General features: G+C 36.5%; 1 protein-coding gene across 4 annotated transcripts in view, besides 2 other annotated features; it reads left to right on the top strand.

Annotated features, from left to right (window-relative positions):
* WASF1 (WASP family member 1) overlaps positions 1–26,863 on the top strand; it is a 79,852-nt gene that overhangs the window by 46,316 nt on the left and 6,673 nt on the right. For all 4 annotated transcript variants that reach the window (NM_001024936.2, NM_001024935.2, NM_001024934.2 and 1 more), the window contains 4 exons: positions 5,726–5,886; positions 19,895–20,029; positions 24,674–24,827; positions 26,161–26,278. In NM_001024936.2, coding sequence (NP_001020107.1) covers positions 5,754–5,886; positions 19,895–20,029; positions 24,674–24,827; positions 26,161–26,278 — 540 coding nt within the window. In that variant the 5' untranslated portion in view covers positions 5,726–5,753. The remainder of the gene's footprint in view (positions 1–5,725; positions 5,887–19,894; positions 20,030–24,673; positions 24,828–26,160; positions 26,279–26,863) is intronic.
* Positions 16,320–16,863: an enhancer, noted in NCBI's record as "H3K27ac-H3K4me1 hESC enhancer chr6:110437695-110438238 (GRCh37/hg19 assembly coordinates)". NCBI's record gives its function as "activates a minimal SCP1, AML or CMV promoter by ChIP-STARR-seq in naive H9 embryonic stem cells {active_cell/tissue: H9 hESC(naive)}" and the evidence as "EXISTENCE:reporter gene assay evidence [ECO:0000049][PMID:30033119]".
* Positions 16,864–17,409: an enhancer, noted in NCBI's record as "H3K27ac-H3K4me1 hESC enhancer chr6:110437149-110437694 (GRCh37/hg19 assembly coordinates)". NCBI's record gives its function as "activates a minimal SCP1, AML or CMV promoter by ChIP-STARR-seq in naive H9 embryonic stem cells {active_cell/tissue: H9 hESC(naive)}" and the evidence as "EXISTENCE:reporter gene assay evidence [ECO:0000049][PMID:30033119]".

Genomic DNA, 26,863 nt, shown 5'->3' with positions numbered 1-26,863 from the left:
AAAAGTCATTGTACAAAGAAGTCATTTTACAAAAAAGATACTTGCACTTGCATGTTTATAGCAGCACAATTTGTAATTGCAAAAATATGGATGTATATAGCATGTATATAGCAGCACAATTTGTAATTGCAAAAATATGGATGTATGTAGTATGTATATAGCAGCACAAATTTATAATTGCAAAAATATGGAACCAGCCCAAATGCTTATCATTCGACAAGTGGATAAAGAAAAGTGAGTGAGAACACACGATGTTTGGTTTTTCATTCTGGAGTTACCTTACATACAGTCATAGTCTCCAATTCCATCCAGCTTGCTATGAATGTCATTATTTTCATTCTTTTTTATGGCTGTGTAGTATTCCATGGTGTGTGTGTGTGTGTGTGTGTGTATACACCATGGAATACACACACAAACACCATGGTGTATATGTATATATATATACACAGACACACCATGGAATACTACACAGCCATAAAAAAGAATGAAAATAATGACATTCATAGCAAGCTGAATGGAATTGGAGACTATTACTGTAAGTGAAGTAACTCCAGAATGAAAAACCAAACATTGTATGTTCTCACTCATAAGTGGGAGCTAAGCTATGAGGATGCAAAGGCATAGGAATGATACAATGGACTTTGGGGACTTGGGAGAAAGGGTGAGAGGACGGAGAGGGATAAAAGACTACACATTGGGTACAGTGTTCCCTGCTTGGGTGATGGGTACACCAAAATCTCAGAAATCACCACTAAAGAACTTATACATGCACCCAAATACCACGTGTTCCCCCAGAAACTTATTAAAATAAAATAATAATAAAGGAACTTCCTTAATCTATTAAAAGGTGTCTATAAAACAAAATAACCACAAAAAAAACCGTATTACAGACGCCTTGTGAAATGTTGAAGCCTTTTCTGCTTGAGTTAAAAAGACAAGGATGTTTGCCATCATCCTTATGTATATGAAATACGTATTTCACATTGTATTAAAGATTATAGCTAGTGTGGTAAGGCAAGAAAAAGAAATAAAATATATAAAATGGATTAGAATGGAGGAAATCGTCACTATTCACATATGATTGTGTACATTTAAAAATCCAAAATAATTGCAGATAGGTTAGAGATTAGGAAGATCTTGGGATATAGGGTCAATATTAAAAAATCAATTTATTTTCTATATATACAACAATATATATTGTGGTTCCAGTATTATAAAAACATCTACATACAAATAAATAATGATGTATAAGACTTCTCTTTAGAAAACTATAAAACATTAAGAGACTTTTAAAAATCCTGAAGTAGTTGGAGCAATGTATTATGTTCGTGGATAGAAAGAAATGTATAAATATCAGTACTTCCCAATATGATAGGTTTAATAACAGTTCCAGTCTAATTCCCAACAGGTAGAGGTGGGTGTATGTGTTATGTGTGACTTGATAATCTTATTCTAAAAATTTACATGGAAATACACAGGGTCAAGAATAAACAATATTTTTGGAGAACAAGATTGGAGAGCTTGCCCTATTGTGTATCAAGACTTAACTATAAGCCAGGCACAGTGGCTCAAGCCTGTAATTCTAGCACTTTGGGAGGCTGAGGTGGGTCAATTGTCTGAGCTGAGGAGTTTGAGACCAGCCTGGACAACATGGCAGGACCCCATCTCCTAAAAATACACAAAATTAGCCGGGTGTTGTGGCACCTGTAGTCCCAGCTGCTCCGGAGGCTGAGGCAGGAGAATCGCTTGAACCCAAGAGGCGAAGGTTGCAGTGAACCAAGATTACACTACTGCACTCCAGCCTGAGCAACAGAGCGAACTTACTATAAAGCCTGATTAATTCAGTTTGTCATTAGCTCTAGGTTAGTCAAAAAGAGCAATGGAATAGTATGTAGCTCAAAATCTGATTTAAAAATACATAGAAACTTGATTTATGACAAAAGTGCCACCATAGAGCAATAGAGAAATACTAGGCTTTTCAATGAGTGGTGCTGAAATAATATATAAGAAACCTAACTGCTACATCACACCATTCACAAAATTAATTCCACATCAGTTACAGATTATAAGAAAAAACAAAGCTAAGAGATAAAGTGAAAGGTCATATTTATGATCTTGGTGTAGAAAAAGATTTTAGAAACTATGCTTTTGTTCTAAACTTGAAAAGATTGAGAATATCCCTACCACATGGAGCGTAAAAACTTCTGTTCATTAAAAGACATCACTAAGAAAGTGGAATAGCAAGTGAAAGAAGAGATTCCCATCACCTATAACCTTCAAATGGCTCATATCTAGTGTTTCTACAAATCAGCCCTAACACAACAAATGGCCAAAAATGGACAAGAGGATTGAACAGGCACTTCCCAAGAGAAAAACCCAAAAGATCAAGAAACATGAAAAGGTGCTTAAATTCAATAATTGGGAAACACAAATTAAAACTATAACAAGTAGCCACAACATACCCTCAAGAACAGCTAGAATTTAAAAACTGACAGTGTCAAGTGTTATGGGGATGTGGAGCAGCAGCCTCTTAACTGCCGAAAGTAAAGTGTTGGTACAGTCTCTGGAACAGTTTGGCATCATTTCCTAAAGATGAAGTTGTGTGTATCCTTAACTTGGCTATTCTTGTCCTGAAGTATATTCACAATAGAAATGTGTACACTAAGACACATGTGCATGAATGATCAGTATAGTCCTCTTCATAATAGCTTCAAACTGGAAACAATTCATTAACATTAGAATGGGTAAATAAATTGTAGTGTTGTCATATAGTGGACTATTATACAGCAATGAAAATGAACAACCTGCACAGAGCAGTATGGATGAATGTTACAATGTGGAATGAAAAAGGCAAGGCATAAAATAATATGTATCATATTAGTCTATATAAACTTCAAAAAGCTATCAAAACTATAGTGTTTAAAGTTGCCTATGTAAGTTGTGAAAATAAAAAGAAAAACAAGGAAATGCTTATTATAAAAAGAATAAAGGTTACCTATCTTGGGGAGGTAAGCAAGAATGGGAAGAGGACCAAAGTGGACGGGTTCTGGCAATTGGTACAGGCAATATTTTATTTCTTAATGGGGTTACATGAGAGTTTGGTTAAATTTTTGAGGTGTACAATTTTGTATGCTTTTTTTCTCTACATTTCATGTTGCACAGTTTTAGAATGGATTAAAAATGTGGAGAGAATGCTAAACAAATAGGTCAGAGGAAACAAATTTATGCAAAAATTGTTAAAAGCATGTTGATAAGTAACACTTAACTGCAATTAGGTTTATCCCAAACTTCTCATTTGTTAGTCATTAAAGCTCAGTAATTAATAAATTGTCTCCTTTAGTAACCGTTGTTCACTGATAGTACAGTCAGTCATTTCCCACTTTGCAGTAGTGCAGGACTGTAAAAAATGACAGTATAAGTTGAAACCATGAAAAATGATCTTAATTTAAAAATGGGGAAAATTACAGTATTTTAACGTACGCTCTTTAAAAATTTTTGTCAAGACAGTAAAACCTCTTCTATTGTAGGTTAAAATGTATAGGGAAATTTAGAAGTATTTACTTAGCACAATGTCATTGAAGATATTGGAATCAATTAGAATTAGTGTTTTATTTCTTTGTAAAAAAAACTTATCAAAGGCAGTTTGAGCAGTTCTCATTGTGTAACTTACAATAGCAGAGCTAGCAAAGTGAGCATCTTTTCTGTGCCTTGGCAAATTGTCACACTCCTTTCTTTTAAATTAGGATTAGCTTCCAACGTTTTATCTTTTGTGCTTCCACTGTCATGAAGTAGCTCCAAGAGTTTCTTAAATGTGAAGGTTTTTTTGCTAGTGTCACTTCCTTTGGAACATATTCCTTCTTTTTGTCACAACCACATTCCTCATTTATGTCTGTAGGTTTGCCTTCGCTAAGTTCCTCAGGCTGCATATCTAGAAGCTCTCAAACAGTGGCAGTGGCAACATTTCCACAGTCAGCTACTTCATCTGTTACTCCACTTATGTTGGATTTGAATTTCATTTCCAGTGTTACCATTTTTTTTGTTTGTTTTTTTGTTTTTTGCTGCACTTCTGTCTTTGTTGGCCAATTCCTGCTTTCATCTACCTATTTAGTAAAATTTCATGTAGACTTAGCACTGGGAGGCAAGAAGGCAACAGATGCATGCTTTGCTGTCTGTAGGTGAATTGACTAACAGATGAGGGTGTAACCAATCATCAACTGACTTTGAAAGAAGTGGTGATTGGTCACTGATCATGACGTACAGCTCTTCTTAACAGTGATTTGTAGACTAGAGCAGCAGTCTCCTTGTTTTTGGCACAAGGGACTAGTTTCGTGGAAGACAGTCTTTCCACGGGCAGGGGGTGGGGGTGTGTGGAGTGGGGGATGGTTTCGCGATGAAACTGTACCACCTCAGATCATCAGGCATTAATTAGATTCTCATAAGGAGCATGCAACCTAGACCCCTCACGTGTGCAGTTCACAATAGGCCTCGTGCTCCTATGAGAATCTAATGCCGCCACTGATCTGACAGGTGGTGGAACTCAGGCAGTAATGCTTGCTCACCTACCGCCCACCTCCTGCTGTACAGCCTGGTTCCTTACAGGCCACTGACCGTTACTGGTCTGCAGCTGGGGGGTTGGGGAGTCCTGGACTAGAGTACTAGAAATGAAGTTTGTATTTGTGCAATTACTCACAGTTAATATGCTGTAGTAAGTGAAATTTGAATCATGGTGTTGGGCAGTGTTGTTACTAACTCGAGTCACTCAAATTTGTGCATATGCGAAGCATGCAAAGTGAGAGCAGCCTATAATTCAAAGATGGTTGAACTTTTTGATCAGTTAAATAAAGATTTGGTAGATTCCAATGAGATTTCAGGTGCAGGGCTACTTGGAGTATTTGATCTGAGCTTTTGAACACCTGATACATTTTGTGTGATAATGTAAATTTGATTTACTCTTACAGCTTCCTTAATCCTTTTATGCACTTCCTTAGAGAGGACATCTCACACTAACTCTCTAGAACAAAATCCCTATTATAGTAAATAAAAACAGTGTTTTTAGGAGAATAATGGTGATAATTGTGAATTCACCATGCAGCAGCTGACATTGAAAGCAAGTTTTTAAAAAACGTTTTGTATAATGTTGATATTCTAGTAATTGGAAGTTAAATCAATTTTGATTATTTTAGTTGGGTAATTTCATTTTTATTGTCTTCATACAAGCAAATACAGTTGGCCCTTGAACAACCCAGAGATTAGGGGCACCAACCCTCTGCATTGCTGAAAATCTGTGTGTAACTTCTGACTTTCCAAAAACTTAACTACTTATAGACTACTGTTGACCAGAAGCCTTACCGAGAACATAAAGTGTTGTTTAACATATTTTGTAAGTTATATGTATTATATGCTGCATTCTTACAATAAAATAAACCAGAGAAAATAAAATGTTATTAAAAATCATAAGATAATTAACTATTAAGTGGAAGTGAATCATCATAAAGTCTTCATCCTTGTCATTTTCACCTTGAGTAGGCTGAGGAGGAAGAGGAGGGGTTTGTCCTGCTGTCTCAGGGAGGCAGAGAGGGAAGAAAATCCACCAGTAAGTGGACCCAGGCAGTTCAAATCCATGTTGTTCAAGGGTCAACAGTGCTTTATTCTTCAATGAAAAATAAAGTCTCATTCTGTGTTGGCTGAAATTTAATATTGTTAATTTATTTTTGATTTCCTACAGGTGAACTGGCACAAAGGTTAATCTCAAGATGCCGCTAGTGAAAAGAAACATCGATCCTAGGCACTTGTGCCACACAGCACTGCCTAGAGGCATTAAGAATGAACTGGAATGTGTAACCAATATTTCCTTGGCAAATATAATTAGACAACTAAGTAGCCTAAGTAAGTATATATCAATTAAAAATATACTCACAAACCAGAATGTTATGCTTTAGCGTATTAAGAAGTTGTGCTTCTGATTAATTTGGGAGTATGATTTGGTGAGAAGAGTACAAAATTATCCTGAAAAATATAGTCACATGAGTATAATTATTGAGTTTTACAAGAACCTCTTCTGCATGATGTTTCTTCTGGGAAAGGAAAATACGGACAGAATCTCTAGGAACAGAAACACATGATGAATGAAAATTATTGAGATTGTTTTAAAAATATATAATCTGCGAAAGGACCAGAGTTGTACTTTTCCTTGGTTATTATCACTATTTACTCTGTTTAGAGGCCTCAACTATTTGTGTTTTCAAACACTAGTATCCCTCTCTTTATATATATATTTAATTAGTTTAGGGAAATATTTTTATATTAGCAAAGATCTAAGGTGAGAGGTATGGGGTCATTATTAGTCAGAGGGGTAGGCTAGTCAAGTGGGATGTCTAAGAGACATTAGGATATAAGTCAGGAATCTGATATGCAGCATTGTGTGAAAACAGCAAATGAACTTGGCCTCTGGCAGACAGAAGTCAAGCAGGTTGGCCAGAGAATAAAGGCCAGTGAAAGAGGCAGATTAGGGAGAAGGAGACAGGCAATATGTTCTCATTGCAGATTTACAGAATAGAGCAACTTGGTTAAGGAATTAAACAAATTATTTTCTATTCTAAGTTTATTTAGAAAATTTAAAAAATCTGGTCTGTCTTTTGCATTGAAGGATTAGCTTTTTCATAAGACATTGATATTTCATTTTAAAGGTGAAACAAGGTGTTCTTGGCAGAGATAATATCCACCAAGTGGTCCTAGATTTATCTCATCAGCCATATAAATTCTCCTGATAAGCAGGCTTGGCTTTTCTTTTCTTTTCCTTTTAACTTTTGTCCTTTCTTTTATAATTGAGTACTTAGCACAAGAGGTTGTTAATCTAATTTGTTTCCGGTAAGAAAGTTTAGGCATACCTGTAGCGAGAGCAACATAAAAAGTTACATTTGAATATTCTCTGTGAGAGTACTAAATTTTTGCATTGCCTGTGAAATAGTAAGAATAAATAAAAGGCTATTTTATTTGAATTTTAAGTATATTCCTTGTTCCATTCAGTGGTCATTTTTTTCAGGTTAGTGAATCACTAAAATATTGTATTGTTTACTTGAGGCTAATAAAAAAAGTGTTAGAGTTCCCAGTTTAAATATGATTAACTATATTGTTTAAAGATATTTTGCAGATTTTTTGTGACCTAGCACGGATTGAATCAAGTATAACATGATGTCATATAAAATTTGTTTTATATATGTTATGTACATACATAAGTATATAAGCATGCTAATATTAAAATACATGTTAAGAACATAGAAATGGCATTAGTAATTTTGTATAACATATTTCTTAAAATGAATTGTGGATCCAGTACAGGCATCTTATTTTAGGTATATACCCAATATAGAATTTAGAACTAATATTGTGATTAAGGGTGATAATTTGCAGTACTAACCCATTTGTTACAAAACTTAAAGATGAAAATTTAAGGAATTTTTAAGTCTATATAGTCCATATAAGCAACATCTATCAGCAGGCACATGGTTATGCTGTAGCGAAACTCTGAAAATTATAAATACCTTGTAACAATATAACTAAATTAGGTGTTGGGTGCTTCACATTTAGAATCAGAGACCTGGAAGGCATTGTTTAAGCAGTTTGTAGAGATTCAAAAACAAAGAGAAAACCCATAAAATATTCTAGCAAGGTGTGACAATAGCTTACTGCCCTGAAATTAACTTCTCTGGCAGCTTTCCCACTTGACATAGTTGAGAACCTGGAATTAAATTTAAAAGGCCTCTAGATAGCCAGAATAAATAAACTCATGCACTAAAGACCATGCACATAAAATAACCAATTGATCCCTCTCTCAAAACCTGTTTACTTTTACCTTGATAGTTCAAACAGATTTGATGATGTGGTTTCCAAACAGTTATGCTTCAGAGGATAAAAGGAGGAAGCATGGGAGGAGATACTAGAAGGAGGCATCACTGAACCCAACCAAAAGGAGGTAGTTCACAGGAAAGGACAAAGTGATGTAAGGGAAGATGCAACATAAAAACTGGAAAGAAGCCATTTAATGTAAAGCAAATATCCTTATACATTTCAAGGCTGTTTTCTGGCCTAGGATAATATTTGATTTTCATAATTCATGCCCGTGAGTCCCTAAGAAAAAATTAAATTATGTTTAATTTTATATTCCATTTAAGAAGAGGGAAGCTTAGAATACATTTCACAAGTTTCCATCGAAAATAGTTAAAATAACAATTGATGTATTAGATAATAAAATCTGAATTACTTAGAAAACTTGGCTATCCAAAATGTTTCTAGATAATGGAGATTTTCACTTTGGTGCTATTATTAGTACTGAAAGTGCTTGAGAATATAGCAATGAAAGTAAACTGCAGGGATCCACATGGCTCAGGGCTGGATATCTTCCTGACCTTTTCCTCACAAAAATGTACTTCCTTTTTTTATTTTTTTGAAACAGAGTCTTGCTCTGTCACCCAGGCTGGAGTGCAGTGGTGCGATCTTGGCTCACTACAAACTCCACCTCCCAGGTTCAAGCAATTCTTGTACCTCAGCCACCAAAGCCGCTGGGATTACAGGCGAGTGCCATCATGCCTGGCTAATTTTTGTATTATTTTTAGTAGAAATGGGGTTTTGCCATGTTGGCCAGGCTGGCCTTGAACTTCTGGCCTCAAGTGATCCACCCGCCTCGGCCTCCCAAAGTGCTGGGATTACAGGTGTGAGCCACCATACCCAGCCAGTACATCTGTTTTTTGTGAGATTTTTCCTAGTAGAACATAATTCTGTTTTGTATTAGGTAATTACCACAAACCTATAATTCACTTTATATCAATTTCCTCTTTCTCATTTTATTGCTTTCTTAATGATGCAAGGTTTTTTACTCCTTAGCTGAGCTAGGTCCAGGTTCTTGTCTCACGATGAGGAAGAATTAGGCACACAGATACTCTAAGAGTGAATGGAGTAGAATTTATTAAGTGAAAGGAAAGCTCTCAGCCAAGAGAGGGGTCCTGAAAGCAGGTTCCAGGTTGCCCCGTCACAGTTGAATACAAGGGCATATATATATATATATATATATATATATATATATAGAGAGAGAGAGAGAGAGAGAGAGAGAGAGAGAGAGAGAGGAGAGAGAGGAGAGAGAGGAGAGAGAGAGAGAGAGAGAGAGAGACGCTGATGGGGCTGGGTTCCCTATTTGTATGAGGCACAGATTACTGGTGGCTTCACCACATTTCCCTAGTGCACATGCAGGCCCTTAGTCTGCTGTGGGCATGTTTAAGCAAGCCCCCTGTGCAAGTTCCCTTATCTGCACAAAGCATCTGGTGTAAGCCCTTGTGGGGTGGGTCAGAGGTTCTCTGGGGACCCTTCCCTTACTGTCTGCCTAAAGCAAGCTAGCTAACTCCTTTCATTAACAACCACTGGGATTCTGAATACCTAAGGGATCTCTTCCCCTGGCTTTTCTCTTATGGAATATAGTCAGTTCTTATTGCCAAGATTAGTCTTTTCCATCTCTGTATCTACACCTAGCATTTGTATCCCTACCAATTGTTGAATAAATGAGTAACTTTATACCTGCTTTTTCTTCCATTTGGGATGCTTCCCTTATCTGCCAGAGAAACTGTCTCTGGAAGTATCTTGATCACCAAATAACTTTTGACACCTGAAAGTGAGGTGCTTCTATCTCTGCTGTGTTGCTCTTACCTTATATTAAGAGCTGCCTGTTATTGGGCTCCTCTGTATGAGGTGCACTTCAAGGCTCTTTTCTTGCTTCTTTTAGAGACAGATGTTTTTATTCCTATTTTACAGATAAGGAAATTGATACCAAGGTCTCACAGTGAATAGAACAAATATTAGGACTTATCTATTAAATTGCTTTAAATATTTGCTTAAATGTCTGGTTCTCCCTCTGCTCAAAATTCAGTAATGGCAGGGATCTTCTTCAAGTTATTTTGGCTTACTCTTTTCAGTAATAAGAACTTACACAACTAGAGGAATACAGTGATTTTAGATTTATGATTTTTTTTTTTCAGAAGTTGTAACAAGAGGGTGTAAAAGATCTCCTAAATTTCTGAATCTATATCTTGGGCATCCCTGGGACAGATAATCTTCTAGGTCTTTGATGAATCTTGGGTTCTGCTACTTGGCCTAAAATTTATTTCTAGCTAATATAAATGCTGATTATATATAAATGCTGATTATATATAAATGCTACAGTCTACATATAAATGCTTTCAGATTGACAGGCATATTATTTGCATATACCTTTACATCATAATCTTCTCTAACCCTCATCAGGTGGACAGATATAGATAAAGCAAGTAATTTCCATTTTAGACACAAATCATTTAACAGAAAGTAGTAGAACAAGGTTTAAAAGCAGGCTTCCCAGGGTATCTCTTTTTTTTTCCCCACTTTGTCATGGCTGGGTGACTTTAGATAGGGTTTAAAGTTTAAAATACAGTTGGCCCTTGAACAGTGTAGGGGTAAGGGGCACAGATCCTCAGTGAAGCCAGAAATTTGCATATAACTTTTGACTCCCCCAAAACTTAACTGCCTATAGCCTACTATTGACCAGAAGCCTTACCGAGAACATAAACTGTTGCTTAACATGTATATTTTATGTTGTATGTGTAGTAGTATACTGTATTCCTACAATAAGGTAAGCTAGAGAAAAGAATATGTTATTAAGAAAACCATAAGAAAAAATATACTTACTGTTCATTAATTGGAAGTGGATCATCATAAAAGTCTTCATCCTCGTTATCTTCACATTGAGCAGACCAAAGAGGAGAAGGAAAAGGAGGAGTTTGTCTTGCTGTCTCAGGAGTAGCAGAGGCAGAGAGGTGGAGGAGGTAGAAGTAGTAGAGGTGGGCACACTGGTGTAACTTTACAAAAACACATCTTGATTTCTGACTTTTTTGCTTCTTCATTTCTCTAAAAATGTTTTTATATGGTACCAATCCTCCTTTTATTTGCTTTAGTTTTGGTACTGTATCATAGAAGGGTTCACGTTGTAAAATAAATCAAAAGTAGTCTTGAATAATTGGAACGCTTTTGCCAGATTCTCTAATGTCAATTTGTTTTCTGACACCACTTCTTCTATGTCTTCTTTTTTTTTTTTTTGGATTCCATTTTTTAAAATCGGAGATCTGCTTCTTTACTTTCTTTCTTATTTATTATGATACTTTAAGTTCTATGGTACATGTGCATAGTGTGCAGGTTTGTTACATAGGTATACATGTGCCATGGTGGTTTGCTGCACCCATCAACTCGTCATTTACATTAGGTATTTTTTCCTAATGCTATCCCTCCCCCAGCCCCCGACCCTCCGACAGACCCGGGTATGTGATGTTCCCCACCATGTGTCCATGTGTTCATGTTGTTCAATTCCCACCTAGGAGTGAGAACATCTGGTGTTTGGTTTTCCAACCTTGTGATAGTTTTTTTAGAATGATGGTTTCCAGCTTTATACATGTCCCTGCAAAGGACATGAACTCATCCTTTTTTATGGCTACATAGTATTCCATGGTGTATATGTACCACATTTTCTTAATCCAGTCTATCATTGATGGACATTTGGGTTGGTTCCAAGTCTTTACTATTGTAAATAGTGCCACAATAAACATACATGTGCATTTGTCTTTATAGTAGCATGATTTATAATCCTTTGGGTATGTACCCAGTAATGGGATCGCTGGATCAAATGGTATTTCTAGTTCTAGATCCTTGAGGAATTGCCACACTGTCTTCCACAATGGTTGAACTGACTTACACTCTCACCAATAGTGTAAAAGTGTTCCTATTTCTCCACATCCTCTCCAGCATCTGTTGTTTCCTGACTTTTTAATGATCACCATTCTAACTGGCATGAGATGGTATCTCCTTGTGGTTTTGATTTGCATTTCTCTGATGACCAGGGATGATGAGCATTTTTTCATATGTCTGTTGGCTGTGTAAATGTCTTCTTTTGGGAAGTGCCTGTTCATATCCTTTGTCCACTTTTTGATCGGGTTGTTTTTTTTCTTATAAATTTGTTTAAGTTCTTTGTAGATTCTGGATATTAAGCCTTTGTCAGATGGGTAGATTGCAAGGATTTTCTCCCATTCTGTAGGTTGCCTGTTCACTCTGATGGTAGTTGCTTTTGCTGTGCAGAGGCTCTTTAGTTTATTTAGATCCCATGTGTCTATTTTGGCTTTCTTGCCATTGCTTTTGGTGTTTTAGTCATGAAGTGTTTGCCCATGCCTATGTCCTGAATGGTATTGCCTAGGTTTTCTTCTAGGGTTTTTATGGTGTTAGGTCTTACATTTAAATCTTTAATCCATCTTGAGTTAATTTTTGTATACGGTGTAAAGAAGGGATCTAGTTTCAGCTTTCTTCATATGGCTAGCCAGTTTTCCCAGCACCATTTATTAAATAGGGAATCCTTTCCCCATTTCTTGTTTTTGTCAGGTTTGTCAAAGATCAGATGGTTGTAGATGTGTGGTGTTATTTCTGAGGGCTCTGTTCTGTTCCATTGGTCTATATCTCTGTTTTGGTACCAGTACCATGCTGTTTTGGTTACTGTAGCCTTGTAGTGTAGTTTGAAGTCATGTAGCGTGATGCCTCCAGCTTTGTTCTTTTGGCTTAGGATTGTCTTGGCTATGCAGGCTCTTTTTTTGTTCCATATGAACTTTAAAGTAGTTTTTTCCAATTCTGTGAAGAAAGTCATTGGTAGCTTGATGGGGATAGCATTGAATCTATAAATTACCTTGGGTAGTATGGCCATTTTCACGGTATTGATTCTTCCTATCCATGAACATGGAATGTTCTTCCATTTGTTTGTGTCCTCTTTTATTTCGTTGAGCAGTGGTTTGTAGTTCTCCTTGAAGAGGTCCTTCACATCCCTTGTAAGTTGGATTCCTAGGTATTTTATTCTCTTTGTAGTAATTGTGAATGGGAGTTCACTCATGATTTGGCTGTTTGTCTGTTATTGGTGTATAAGAATGCTTGTGATTTTTGCACATTGATTTTGTATCCTGAGACTTCGCTGAAGTTGCGTATCAGCTTAAGGAGATTTTGAGCTGAGACAATGGGGTTTTCTAAATATACAATCATGTCATCTGAAAACAAGAGACAATTTGACTTCCCCTTTTCCTAATTGAATACCCTTTATTTCTTTCTCTTCTTGCCTGATTGCTCTAGCCTTCCAACACTGTGTTGAATAGGAGTGGTGAGAGACGGCATCATTGTCTTGTGCTGATTTTCAAAGGGAGTGCTTCCAGTTTTTGCCTATTCAGTATGATTTTGGCTATGGGTTTGTTATAAATAGCTCTTATTATTTTGAGATATGTTCCATCAATACCTAGTTTATTGAGAGTTTTTAGCATGACGGGGTGTTGAATTTTGTTGAAGGCCTTTTCTGCAGCTATTGAGAAAATCATGTGGTTTTTGTCATTTGTTCTGTTCATGTGATGGATTACGTTTATTGATTTGCATATGTTGAACCAGCCTTGCATCCCAGGGATGAAGCTGACTTGATCATGGTGGATAAGCTTTTTGATGTGCTGCTGGATTTGGTTTGCCAGTATTTTATTGAGGATTTTTGCATTGGTGTTCATCAGAGATATTGGCCTAAAATTCTCTTTTTTTGTTGTGTCTCTACCAGGCTTTGGTATCAGGATGATGCTAGCCTCATAAAATGAGTTAGGGAGGTTTCCCTCTTTTTCTATTGATTGAAATAGTTTTAGAAGGAATGGTACCAGCTCTTCTTTTTACCTCTGGTAGACTTTGGCTGTGCATCTGTCTGGTCCTGGGCTTTTTTTGGTTGGTAGGCTATTAAATATTGCCTCAATTTCAGAACCTGTTATTGGTCTATTCAGAGATTCACCTTCTTCCTGGTTTAGTCTTGGGAGGGTGTATGTGTCCAGGAATTTATCCATTTCTGCTAGATTTTCTAGTTTATTTGTGTAGAGGTGTTTATAGTATTCTCTGATGGTAGTTTGTATTTCTGGGGGATTGGCAGTGATATCCCCTTTATCATTTTTTATTGTGTCTATTTGATTCTTCTCTCTTTTCTTGTTTATTAGTCTTGCTAGCGGTCTATCTATTTTGTTGATCTTTTCAAAAAAACAGCTCCTGGTTTCACTGATTTTTTTGAAGGGTTTTTGTGTGTCTCCTTCAGTTCTGCTCTGATCTTAGTTATCTCTTGCCTTCTGCTAGCTTTCGAACATGTTTGCTCTTGCTTCTCTAGTTCTTTTAATTGTGATGTTAGGGTGTCAATTTTAGATCTTTCCTGCTTTCTCTTGTGAGTATTTAGTGCTATAAATTTCCCTCTACACACTGCTTTAAATGTGTCCCAGAGATTCTGGTACTTTGTGTCTTTGTTCTCATTGGTTTCAAAGAACATCTTTATTTCTGCCTTCATTTTGTTATTTACCCATTAGTCATTCAGGAGCAGGTTGTTCAGTTTCCATGTAGTTGTGCGGTTTTGAGTGAGTTTCTTAATCCTGAGTTCTAATTCAATTGCACTGTGATCTGAGGGACAGTTCGTTGTGATTTCTGTTCTTTTACATTTGCTGAGGAGTGTTTTACTACAATTATGTGGTCAGTTTTAAAATAAGTGTGATGTGATGCTGAGAAGAATGTATATTCTATTGATTTGGGGTGTGGAGTTCTGTAGATGTCTATTAGGTCTGCTTGGTCCAGAGCTGAGTTCAAGTCCTGGATATCTTTGTTAACCTTCTGTCTCTTTGATGTGTCTAATATTGACAGTGGGGTGTTAAAGTCTCCCGTTATTATTGTGCAGAAGTCTAAGTTTCTTTGTAGGTCTCTAAGGACTTGCTTTATGAATCTGGGTGTTCCTGTATTGGGTGCATATATATTTAGGATAGTCAGCTCTTCTTGTTGAATTGATCCCTTTACCATTATGTAGTAGCTGCCTTTGTCTCTTTTGATCTTTGTTGGTTTAAAGTCTGTTTTATCAGAGACTAGGATTGCAAACCCTGCTTTTTTTTTTTTTTTTTTTTTTTTTTTTTTTGCTTTCCGTTTGCTTGGTAGATCTTCCTCTTTCCCTTTATTTGGAGCCTATGTGCATCTTTGCATGTGAGCATGTGAGATGGGTTTCCTGAATACAGCACACTGATGGGTCTTGACTCTTTATCCAATTTGCCAGTCTGTGTCTTTTAATTGGAGCATTTAGCCCATTTACATTTAAGGTTAATATTGTTATGTTTTATTTTGATCCTGTCATTATCATGTTAGCTGGTTATTTTGCCTGTTAATTGATGCAGTTTCTTCCTAGCATCGATGTTCTTTACCATTTGGCATGTTTTGCAGTGGCTGGTACCGGTTGTTGCTTTCCATGTTTAGTGCTTCCTTCAGGAGTTCTTGTAAGGCAGGCCTTGTGGTGACAAAATCTCTCAGCATTTGCTTGTCTGTAAAGGATTTTATTTCTCCTTGGCTTATGAAGCTTAGTTTGGCTGGATATGAGATTCTGGGTTGAAAATTCTTTTCTTTAAGAATGTTGAATATTGGCCCCCACTCTCTTCTGGCTTGTAGGGTTTCTGCCGAGAGATCCGCTGTTAGTCTGATGGGCTTCCCTTTGTAGGTAACCCGACCTTTCTCTGTGGCTGCCCTTAACATTTTTTCCTTCATTTCAACCTTGGTGAATCTGACAATTATGTGTCTTGGGGTTGCTCTTCTTGAGGAATATCTTTGTGGTGTTATCTGTATTTCCTGAATTTGAATGCTGGCCTTCCTTGCTAGGTTAGGGAAGTTCTCCTAGATAATATCCTGACGAATGTTTTCTAACTTGGTTCCATTTTCCCCATCACTTTCTGGTACACCAGTCAAACATATATTTGGCCTTTTCATATAGTCCTATATTTCTTGGAGGCTTTGTTTGTTTCTTTTCACTCTTTTTTTATCTGATCTTTTCTTCTCGTTTTATTTCATTAATTTGATCTTCAATCACTGATATTCTTTCTTCCACTTGATCAAATCAGCTATTGAAGCTTGTGCATGCGTCACAAAGTTTTTGTGCCATGGTTTTCAGCTCCATCAGGTCATTTAAGGTCTTCTCTACATTTTATTCTAGTTAGCCATTTATCTAAGCTTTTTTCAAGGTTTTTAGCTTCCTTGCAATTGGTTAGAACATGCTCCTTTAGCTCAGAGAAGTTTGTTATTACCAACCTTGTGAAGCCTACTTCTATCAACTCATCAAACTCATTTTCCATCCAGTTTTTTTCCCTTGCTGGCAAGGAGCTGCAATCCTTTGGACGAGAAGAGGCGCTTTGTTTTTTTTTTCGAATTTTCAGCTTTTCTGCTCTGGTTTCTCCCCATCTTTGTGGTTTTATCTACCTTTGGTCTTCGATGTTGGTGACCTACAGAGGGGGTTTTGGTGTGGATGTCCCTTCTGTTTGTTAGTTTTCCTTCTAACAGTCAGACCCCTCAGCTACAGGTCTGTTGGAGTTTGCTTGAGGTCCACTCCAGACCCTGTTTGCCTGGGTATCACCACCAGAGGCTGCAGAACAGCAAATATTGCTGCCTGATCCTTCCTCTGGAAGCTTCATCCCAGAGGGGCACCCACCTGTTTGAGGTGTCTGTTGGCCCCTACTGGGAGGTGTTCCCCAGTCAGGCTACACGGGGGTCAGGGACCCACTTGAGGAGGCAGTCTGTCCGTTCTCGGAGTTCAGACGCTGTGCTGAGAGAACCACTGCTCTCTTCAGAGCTGTCAGACAAGGATGTTTAAGTCTGCAGAAGCTGTCTGCTGCTTTTTGTTCTACTACGTCCTTCCCCAAGAGGTGGAATTTATAGAGGGAATAGACCTTACTGAGCAGTTCAAGCTTACCGGCCTCTTTGTTTACACTTTGAGCTACTCAAGCCTCAGCAATGGTGGACACCCCTCCCCCGTCAAGCTGCAGCGTCACAGGTTGATCTCAGACTGCCGCACTAGCAGTGATCAAGGCTCTGTGGGCGTGGGACCCGCCGAGCCAGGCATGGGAGGGTATCTCCTGGTCTGCTGGTTGCTAAGACTGTGGGAAAAGCATATAGTATTTGATCAGGAGTGTACTGTTTCTCCAGGTAGAGTCTGTCACAGCTTCCCTTGGCTAGGAAAGGGAAATCCCCTGACCCCTTGTACTTCCTGGGTGAGGCAATGCCTCGCCCTGCTTCAGCTTGCCCTCTGTGGGCTGCACCCACTGTCCAACCAGTCCTAATGAGATGAACCAGGTACCTCAGTTGGAAATGCAGAAATCACCCGTCTTCTGCATCAGTTTCGCTGGGAGCTGCAGACCGGAGCTGTTCCTATTCAGCCGTCTTGGAAGTGACCCCCTCTTCTATGTCTTCTTTCTCATTGTCTGGTACTGGTTTGGAGGCACTCTTCTCCATCAAGTCATCTTCTGTTAATTCCTCTGGTGTGCTGTCTAATTGGGTTTTGAATTTCTCCAAGATCCATACCTTGCCACGCTTCATCCCCACCCTTTTTTCTGTATCCACTGTCTATTTCATTATTTCCTTGACTGGCACTGTTAAAAACCCTGTGAGGTCATGCAAAACATCTGGACACAGTTTTCTCAAATTTTATGAATTTGTTTTCTTGAGCTTGATGGTTTTCTTGGCTTTTTCAATAATAACTATGACATCTTTGATGGTATAATCCCTCCAAACTTTCATGATGTTCTCTGTTGGGATTCTCTTCCATAGTGTTGACAGTCTTCCACAGAATACCATGTGTAATGAGTCTTAAATGTCCTTATGATCTAGAGCCTGAATTAGAGCTGTCATGTTTGCGGGCAAGTGGACCACTTTGACACCTTCAGTGTGAAACTAATGGGGTTCTGAGTGGCCAGAGATGTTGTACAGTTATCACAAGAATTTTAAAAGACATTCCCTTACTGGCAAGGTACTTCCTGACTTCAGGGACAAAGCGTCAATGGGACCAATCCAGAAAAAGGATTCTCATTGTCCATGCCTTCTTGTTGTCTTGCCTTCTTCTTTTGGCCTTCTTTTTCCTTCAAGGTTTGAGGTTAGCAGCTTTATAGATAAGGGCAGTTCTGATGATAAACCCGACTGCATTTGCACAAAACAATAGAGTTAGTGTGTCCCTTCCTGCCTTAAATCCTGGTGTTCACTTTTTCTTACTAATAAATGTCCTCTGTAGCAGTTTTTTTTTTTTCTGGAATAGGACACTCTCATCTGCATTAAAACTCTGTTCAGGCAGATATTGTTTCTACTCAATTTTTTTCTTTTTCTTTTCTGTTTTGTTTTTTTTTTTTTCTTTGAGAGAGAGAGAGAAGGTCTCACTTTGTCACCCAGGCTGGGCTGGAGTACAGTGGCATGATCACGACTCACAATAGCCTCGACCTCCTAGGCTCAAGTGATCCTCCTGCCTCACCTCCCCAAGTAGCTGGGACTACAGGCACATACCATCGTGCCCAGCTAATTTCTGTATTTTTGGTTGAGACGGGGTTTCACCATGTTGTTCAGGCTGGTCTCAAACTCCTGAGCTCAAGCAGTCTGCCCACCTCAGCCTTTCAAAGTGCTAGGATTACAGACTGTCATGCCTGGCCAATTTTTTTTTTTTTTTCAAGCAGCATACATGGAAACTAATTATTTTCTTAATGGCATCTGGGAACTCATCTGCTGCCTCTTGGCTGACAAAAGCTGCAGCTTCTCTTGTGACATTTTTGAGGCCAAACCTCTTCCTGAAAGTATCAAAGCATCCTTTACTGCCATTAAATTTTCCAGGTTTAGATCCTTTGCCTTCCTTTTGCTTTAAGTTGTCATATATGGACTTCACTTTTTCTCAAATCATGTTAGAGTCTGTATGTATGCTTTCTTGTAACAGCCATGCACCCACAAAAATTGCATTTTGATACAAGATTAAAAGGTATTCGCAAAAAGTACAAGGTTTTTGTGTCTGCTGGTGTATCTGCAGCAATGGCTTCATGATTTTCCTTTTCTTTTTTTATAATTGCCCTTAAGTTTGATTCATTTATCTTGAAATGCTAAGCAACCACAGCTGTAGACCTCAATCTGGGGTTCATATCAAGCAATTCAACTTTATCTTGTAGTGTTATGACTTTCTTGTACTTGAGAGTACTTCCAGCATCACTGGTGGCACTTTGAATGAGTCTCACAATGTATTCAAGGTTTACAGTATTGCATAAAACATGATGGAAAATACACAAGAACCATGAGAGATTACTTCCTACTCTTATATGCAATTTAGTGGAGAGAGAACTGCTCAAACAGCATTTTAAGTGGATAGTAACAACACTAGAGCTAACTGCAGTATCAACAGAGGGTGGCTATAAAATTGTTACAGTAATACAGTATTACACTTAAATTTATTGTTATGATTTAGTACTATTAGGTTGGCAAAAACTGCAATTACATTTGCACCAACCTAATATATCTTTCCATTTCTTTATATTTCTCTTGACTGTGAATGGCACTATGTATGTTTTTGTTTTGTGTGTAAATTTTGATAAATTTTAACTTTTTATAATTTCTGTATATTTTGTGGTAGTAAATGATAAAATAGTCTAGTATTTACATAGATTTTATGCATTCATATCTTTAAAATATACTTTAAAATTTTTAGTATTTTTAGGCTATGTGGTTCATCTGCAAGTTTTTTCAAATTGTCTCAAATCTCCAAAATTTTCAATGTATTTATTGAAAAAAATCCACATGTAAGTGGACTATTACAGTTAAACGATTTTGTTCAAGGGTCAACTGTAATTCCAAATAAATTCCAAATTCAACAGGTCACCAGTTGTAATATTACATTGTTCATTATTTATCTCTGATCACAAAGTATCTGAGGGCAAATATCATGCTAGATTTCTACTGCTTGCAAAGATAAAAACTCAGTGCTCTGGATGTTAAATTTTATGATATATGTGTCATTTTTGCTTAGGTAAATATGCTGAAGATATATTTGGAGAATTATTCAATGAAGCACATAGTTTTTCCTTCAGAGTCAACTCATTGCAAGAACGTGTGGACCGTTTATCTGTTAGTGTTACACAGCTTGATCCAAAGGAAGAAGAATGTAAGCTTATTAATATTGTATTTTCTTCTACGTATATATTTTAAGTTAGATGAGATGAATGATATACTTAACAGTATTAATCATGAATTTATTACAGATCATACCCATGTCCTTTGGTGTACATATTGTAATAAATCAGTGAATTATCTAAAAATGCCATCAGTATGATTCTCCGGGCTTTTCTTTTCTACTCTGTTTTAAATCTCTTCTTTTTGTACACTAAACAGCTCCTAATTTTTTTGCATAAAGAAGTCATTTTAACCAGACATTTTCCTCCATTCTCTTCATTATCTTTCTCTTTTCATTTCTCCCTTATAATTTATTTGTATACTTTTGTCTTAGAAATAAAAATTATTAGAAAATTACCTGAAATCTTTAGGTTTGATTCTACAAGAATGTAACTGGTTTTTTTTTTGTTTTTTTTTTTTTTTGAGACAGACACTCTGTCACTAGGCTGGAGTGCAGTGGCGCAATCTCGGCTCACTGCAACCTCCACCTCCCAGGTTCAAGCAATTCTCCTGCCTCAGCCTCCTGAGTAGCTGGGATTACAGGTGTCTGCCACCACGCCTGGCTAATTTTTTTATTTTTAGTAGAGATGGGGTTTCACCATGTTGGTCCGGCTGGTCTCGAACTCCTGACCTTGTGATCTGCCCACCTCGGCCTCCCAAAGTGTTGGGATTATAGGCATGAGCCACTACACCTGGCTATGTAACTGCTTTTAATATGCTTTTGTATGTGCATATTGCTAAAGTCTTATTAGTTATTTAACTGAATGCAACTTCCTACTTTAAATGAACATTTCAAAAACAAATTGCCAGTATGTAGGGTGTAAACATTCTATACCAAGATATTAAATCAGGAATAATCAGATAGGCTAAAATAATTGTAGAAACTTCGGTGGTAAAATCATGTTTTATGCCTTGATAGAATACATTGAATGCCGACGTTTCCCAAATGCATCTTTTTGTTTGTTTCACAAAAAGAAATGCAATACTAAGAACATAATTTGCACTTACCTACCACAGAGAATTGTTTAATGGAATTTCTTACACTCTCTTCAAAATATTTTTGTTGCATTAAATAGTATAAACACAAATTATATGATAGATCTAATTTTTAGTATAAATGCAAATTATATAATAGATCTAAACTTTAACAATAAAAATACTAAAGGATGTCAGTGGAAAGAACAAAAATATAATGTAATGATAGATGTCTTAGTGATGGAACCAGCTACTTTTGAAATAATCCAATGTGTAAATAAGGAGAGGCAAATACTTGGCATACTAGATTTGTACCACTTGTAAAATGTAAACTCAGAGCTCTGGATACAAGAAGAAAAGGAAATAATACTTAAAAAATAGCTTTATTAAGATATATTTCACAACCTACGTATACCTTGCAGTTCACCCATTTAAAGTTGAAGTGTACAATTCAGTGTTTTTTAGTATATTCAAGTTATGCAACCGTCACCACAATCAATTTTAGAGTATTTGTATCACTCCAGAAAGAAGCCCTGTACTCATTAGCAGTCACTCTGTTTCCCCTTCAGCTCAACCCCTAGCAATCACTGATCTTTCTGTCTGTATGGATTTGCCTCTATGGATTTGTCTGTATGGATCTGTCTGTATGGATATTTCATATGAATGAATAGTACAGTATGTGGTCTTTTGTGACTGGCTTCTTTTAGCATAATGTTTTCAAGGTTCATTCATATAGCATGTATTTATATCTCCCTGATGGCTAATGATGTTGAGTATGTTTTCATGTGCTTACAGGCCATTTGAATATCTCCTTTGGAGAAATGTCTATTTAATTCCTTAGCCCATTTATAATTTGTATTATTCGTGTTTTTATTTTTGACTTGTTGGAATTCTGTGTATATTCTGGATCTAAATCCTTTATCAAATATATGATTTGCAAATATTTTCTCCCCTTCTTTAGGTTGTCTTTCTTGGTGGTATCCTTTGAAACATGTGCATGTATCAATACATTAATTACACCTCATGGAATTCTTGAAATAAAATCATTGTTAGTGGTGAAAAATATTTTATGGTCATGCTTTCAAATACATAATTTATAGCCAAAATTTGTTTTTCAGATAACTCAACTGCTTATCACTTAAATATAAATTTATGCCATCAAATAATAGAGAAATACACAGGCAGTTCTCATATGTAACAGAAATAAAAATCAACATTTAGTTTCAAAATATTGTTACATTTTAACAAATGTCTTAGAGCCACCATTAAACTTGAAAGTGAAAATACAGATAACAGTAAATAAATTAAGATGTTTGTGTTAAAAAACAAATTTTAATATGTCAACAGCTATACTGTCAGAATTATACCTAGTTTCCTTTAAAATTTTGTGGAGCAGTGGGGGAAGAATTCAGAATCTAAAAGCTGAACTACTTAATTTGAAATTGTTTTGGAGAGGTTGTATTGAAGGAGTTTTCAGTTATTTAACCTAGGTTTTTTAATTCAGTGGGAATTAAAAAAAAAACATCATGTGTACAGTACTAAATAGCACAGTGTGGTATCAGTTTTTTTAACCGTTTTGTAGTAACTAAAAACTATCAATTTTGAAAATATTTTTTAAATGAATTTTAAACAAAGACTTGTACAATTATATTTAAGTCAATTATGTTTATAAGCATTATGCTAATTTATTGCTTTATAATTCTATTTTATTAATATCAGATGTTATTGTTGGCAAGTGGAAGGAGCTTCACCACAATAGTCTGTTAATAATAAGACAAACGATAAATGAGAGGAGTTGAAGATAGAAAAGTACATCATGCTTATTAGTTTACATGTTTCTTACATCCTTTACCAAGGAAGTTTGGCGAGATTAAACACTAGGTTTCATCTTAATTACATACTTATTGATTAATAAGTGGGGCAGGAGAGTGGCAAGAATTGATCCACTTTGACTGCAGAAAACACAACCCACTTCTGGCAGGAGCCTGAGAACAGCGTGTGGTATTGTGGCAAAAAGATTAGCCTCAAAGGTAGACAGATCTGACTTTTCTGTTCTGGCTCTGCTGTTTATTAACTGTTTAACCTCAGGTCAGTTATATACTATTTCCTAGCCTTAGCTTTCTTATATTTCACAATGGAGTAATAATTCCTGTCTTACTGAATTGTAAAGATTAAATGAAATGAAATTTAGTGAAACCATCTAGCACATATAGTATGTACTCATTAAATACTGTATCTCCAGTGCCACTTTTTAGTGATAGTGGGGAAAAACTTTTTGCTTCTCTGAATTTTATTTTAGTATTTATAAGTGTGTTACAGGTCATGCAGCAGTGGAATTGCTAGAAATGGAATTATGGTGCCACCATTGCAGAGCCAGCCTATTGTACCTTCTGTGCCATTGGTCCCATGTTCATGTTGAGTGAATTTACTTGAGGGGATGACAGGAATATTATTTTAAGGAGAAGGATAACTTAAGAATTGTTGGCTGGATGTGGTGGCTCACACCTGTAATCCCATCACTTTGGGAGGCTGAGGCGGGCAGATCATGAGGTCAGGAGTTCAAGACCAGCCTGGCCAACATAGTGAACCCTCATCTCTACTAAAAATTTAAAAAAAAAAAAAAATTAGTCGGCCATGGTGGCAGGTGCCTGTAGTCCCAGCTACTTGGGAAGCTGAGGCAGGAGAATTGCTTGAACCCGGGAGGAAGAGGTTGCAGTGAGCCGAGATCGTGCCACTGCACTCCAGCCTGGGTGACACAGCGAGACTCTGTCTCAAAAAAAAAAAAAAAAAGAATTGTTAGGATTGTTATACTGACCTTGCTATGTTATAGGGCATTTGTCTGTATACTTAAGGCCATATTAAATATCAAGAAATTACCTTATTTTTTAATATCGGGATATCAGTGTAAGAATTAAGAATGCAGCATTTTTGTATGTTTTTTATTTTAACATGCTGCACAGTTCAAAATAAATGAAGTTGTTTTTAAATCATGTATGTGATGGGGCTGTGCTAGTGACTGGGAATACTAATGTACAAGATAGTCTGAGTCTTCAAGAGCTTATAGTTAGGTAGAAATCCTTATAGTACAGATAAAAGATAAGTGAAAAAGAGAATAATATAGATCACCTAATACTTAAAAGTATTTCCTTTACAGTAAAGTTTGTTTTAACTTGAGAGTACACATACAATATTTATAGTATATGTAGCATAGAGGTTAACAGCGTGTTTAGCCCACAGTGCCACTAATAAGTAATTCCTTTCAGAGTTACTGGTGTAAGCTAAAAAAAGGAATAAAGGGAGATGGAAAAGAAGATTATAGGAGAAGAGAACCTAAGTTGGTGGGGGCCCATGATGGCAGGTAGAAGAAAGAAAAAGGTATATTTGGTTGAAATGTAGATATGTTTCAGGTGTCATTAGGGCCCTCTGAGCCTTCAAAATCAAAGGTTAATTAAAACCTATCTGATTGGGAAAATTAGGCGCAGAATGATATGGGTAAATATAATGATAGAACATTTAAAATATGGTTTCTGATTCATAAGCCACTAAGGTCACAACCTCTTGAGCCATGCTGACTTTTAGACAAATAAAGTATGTGAATTTGCCCTTATGTTAAATCATCTTAGTAAAATAAAATAAAATGAATTCTTGATTTTTGTTTTAGTGTCTTTGCAAGATATAACAATGAGGAAAGCTTTCCGAAGTTCTACAATTCAAGACCAGCAGCTTTTCGATCGCAAGACTTTGCCTATTCCATTACAGGAGACGTACGATGTTTGTGAACAGCCTCCACCTCTCAATATACTCACTCCTTATAGGTAGGTAGGTTAATAAATAGTAGCCCTATTATTTATCTCAGACTTCAGATTGAAATGCTAAATCCCCAAACATTCTTTATTTCATTGGGGTTCTAGCCAACACAGAGAGCCCTCTCTGTCCACCACCTTTGGAAAACCTTTGCTTTTATTCATTGGATGAATTCTTAAGATTGTGGCATACAAAAGACAAGACCTATTTAAAAGAGTTGTTTTTACAAGTTTAGAAAAGCCACTGGTAAACTTATTAATGTAAAGAGATAAGGAGTTATTATTGTCCTTTTAATTTAATTTTTAATCAAATGGAAAAAGCTCAAAATTCTGTCCTACTAACAAAATAAACATAATTTTTGCTTGTTTTGTCTACTCTTTTTTTTTTTTTTTTTTTTTTTTGAGGCGGAGTCTCACTTTGTCACCTAGGCTTACTGCAAGCTCTGCCTCCCAGGTTCATGTCATTTTCCTGCCTCAGCCTACCGAGTAGCTGGGACTACAGGCGCCTGCCACCAAGCCCGGCTAAATTTTTATATTTTTAGTAGAGATGGGGTTTCACTGTATTAGCCAGGATGGTCTCGATCTGACCTCGTGATCCACCCGCCTTGGCCTCTCAAAGTGCTGGGATTACAGGCGTGAGCCACTGCGCCCGGCCTGTTTCGTCTACTCTTGATTTGATTTGTATACATTAACTTCTTACATAATGAATAGGTAGTACCTTTATAAAATGCTTTTTACCACTTAGAATAAAATCTGGAATTATTTAGCCTTTCTTTGAAGTTCTTTCACATGGTTTGTTAAATGGGTAATGTACAACACAACCTGAATAAAATAGTATTCAGAGAGTTATTTGAAATTGTAAGTCAGTGTGCAGATAATTAGATATAAATGTGACTGTTAGAATGACTATTACATGATATCTTTTGGATTTAGTAAGATAATAAATAAATCATAGTATTGGCAGAAACTGCAAAATTTCTGTCTTCTAGATGATGTTACTGTCTTTTCAGGCTTTTATCTTTGGCAGAGCTATTTGTAATTATTGGAATTGCCCAAAGGACTTTTTAGAAAATTTGGGATTCAGCAGAAATTAGGGATGAAAATTGCCCAGCTATACTTTAAATTGTTAGTACTAACTTGGAAAAGCATCTGCTTTACCACTTTTCTTTGTTTCCTCATATTTGTGAGAAATTTTCTATTGGTGCAATATTCAGTTTTATTTTGGCACTATTTTAACATGCTGTATTTTATTAATGTAAGAGGATAAACATTTTAGTGAAATTATTTCTATTCTGATTGCCTAAGTCTTACTAATGTGTGTTTTAATTGATATTTTATATTTCAGAGATGATGGTAAAGAAGGTCTGAAGTTTTATACCAATCCTTCGTATTTCTTTGATCTATGGAAAGAAAAAATGTTGCAAGATACAGAGGATAAGAGGAAGGAAAAGAGGAAGCAGAAGGTATTACAAGAGATTAAAAAATTGAGGTTAATTTTTGTATATTTGTGTTTTGTTGCATATATTGAACTTCATTAATCTTGTATTTTGACAGTTTTATTTTATTGGGTCCATATAGTTAAATACTGAAGTCTTTATAACTCCACAGAAAGAACACAGTCTGATGGGGAGCAGATGAGCAATTAGATTATTAGAGTAGGGCATAATAAGTGCCATAGCAGAGGTATGCATAAAGGGTTTAGATAACACAAAATAGCATCTGCTTTAGCTAGCAGGCAGGGTAAACCCTTCCCACAAAGCTTATAATGAATCTTGAAGAACAGATAGGAGTTAGGTGTACCAAGGAAGAGAGGAACATTTTGGTAAGGAGCAATGGAATCTTGTACAGATATTGGTAACGTAGATTAAGCTAGTATTTTGTTGCTACAGAGCACATCCTAAACATTTCTCTCCTAAATGTTTTGGAGAGGTTATTATATTCACATGAAATTTCTGTTATTGTCATTTTCCACTTTCTAATAAAATTCACTTGTATCTGCTTTATATTTCATGTTAATGATAACTGAAAACACAGAAGGATGAAGCAAA

Source organism: Homo sapiens, chromosome 6, assembly GCF_000001405.40.
Source record: "Homo sapiens chromosome 6, GRCh38.p14 Primary Assembly".
Lineage (NCBI taxonomy): Eukaryota > Metazoa > Chordata > Mammalia > Primates > Hominidae > Homo > Homo sapiens.
The sequence above is the reverse complement of the archived record's forward strand: the minus strand, read 5'-3'. Positions and strand labels throughout refer to the sequence as shown.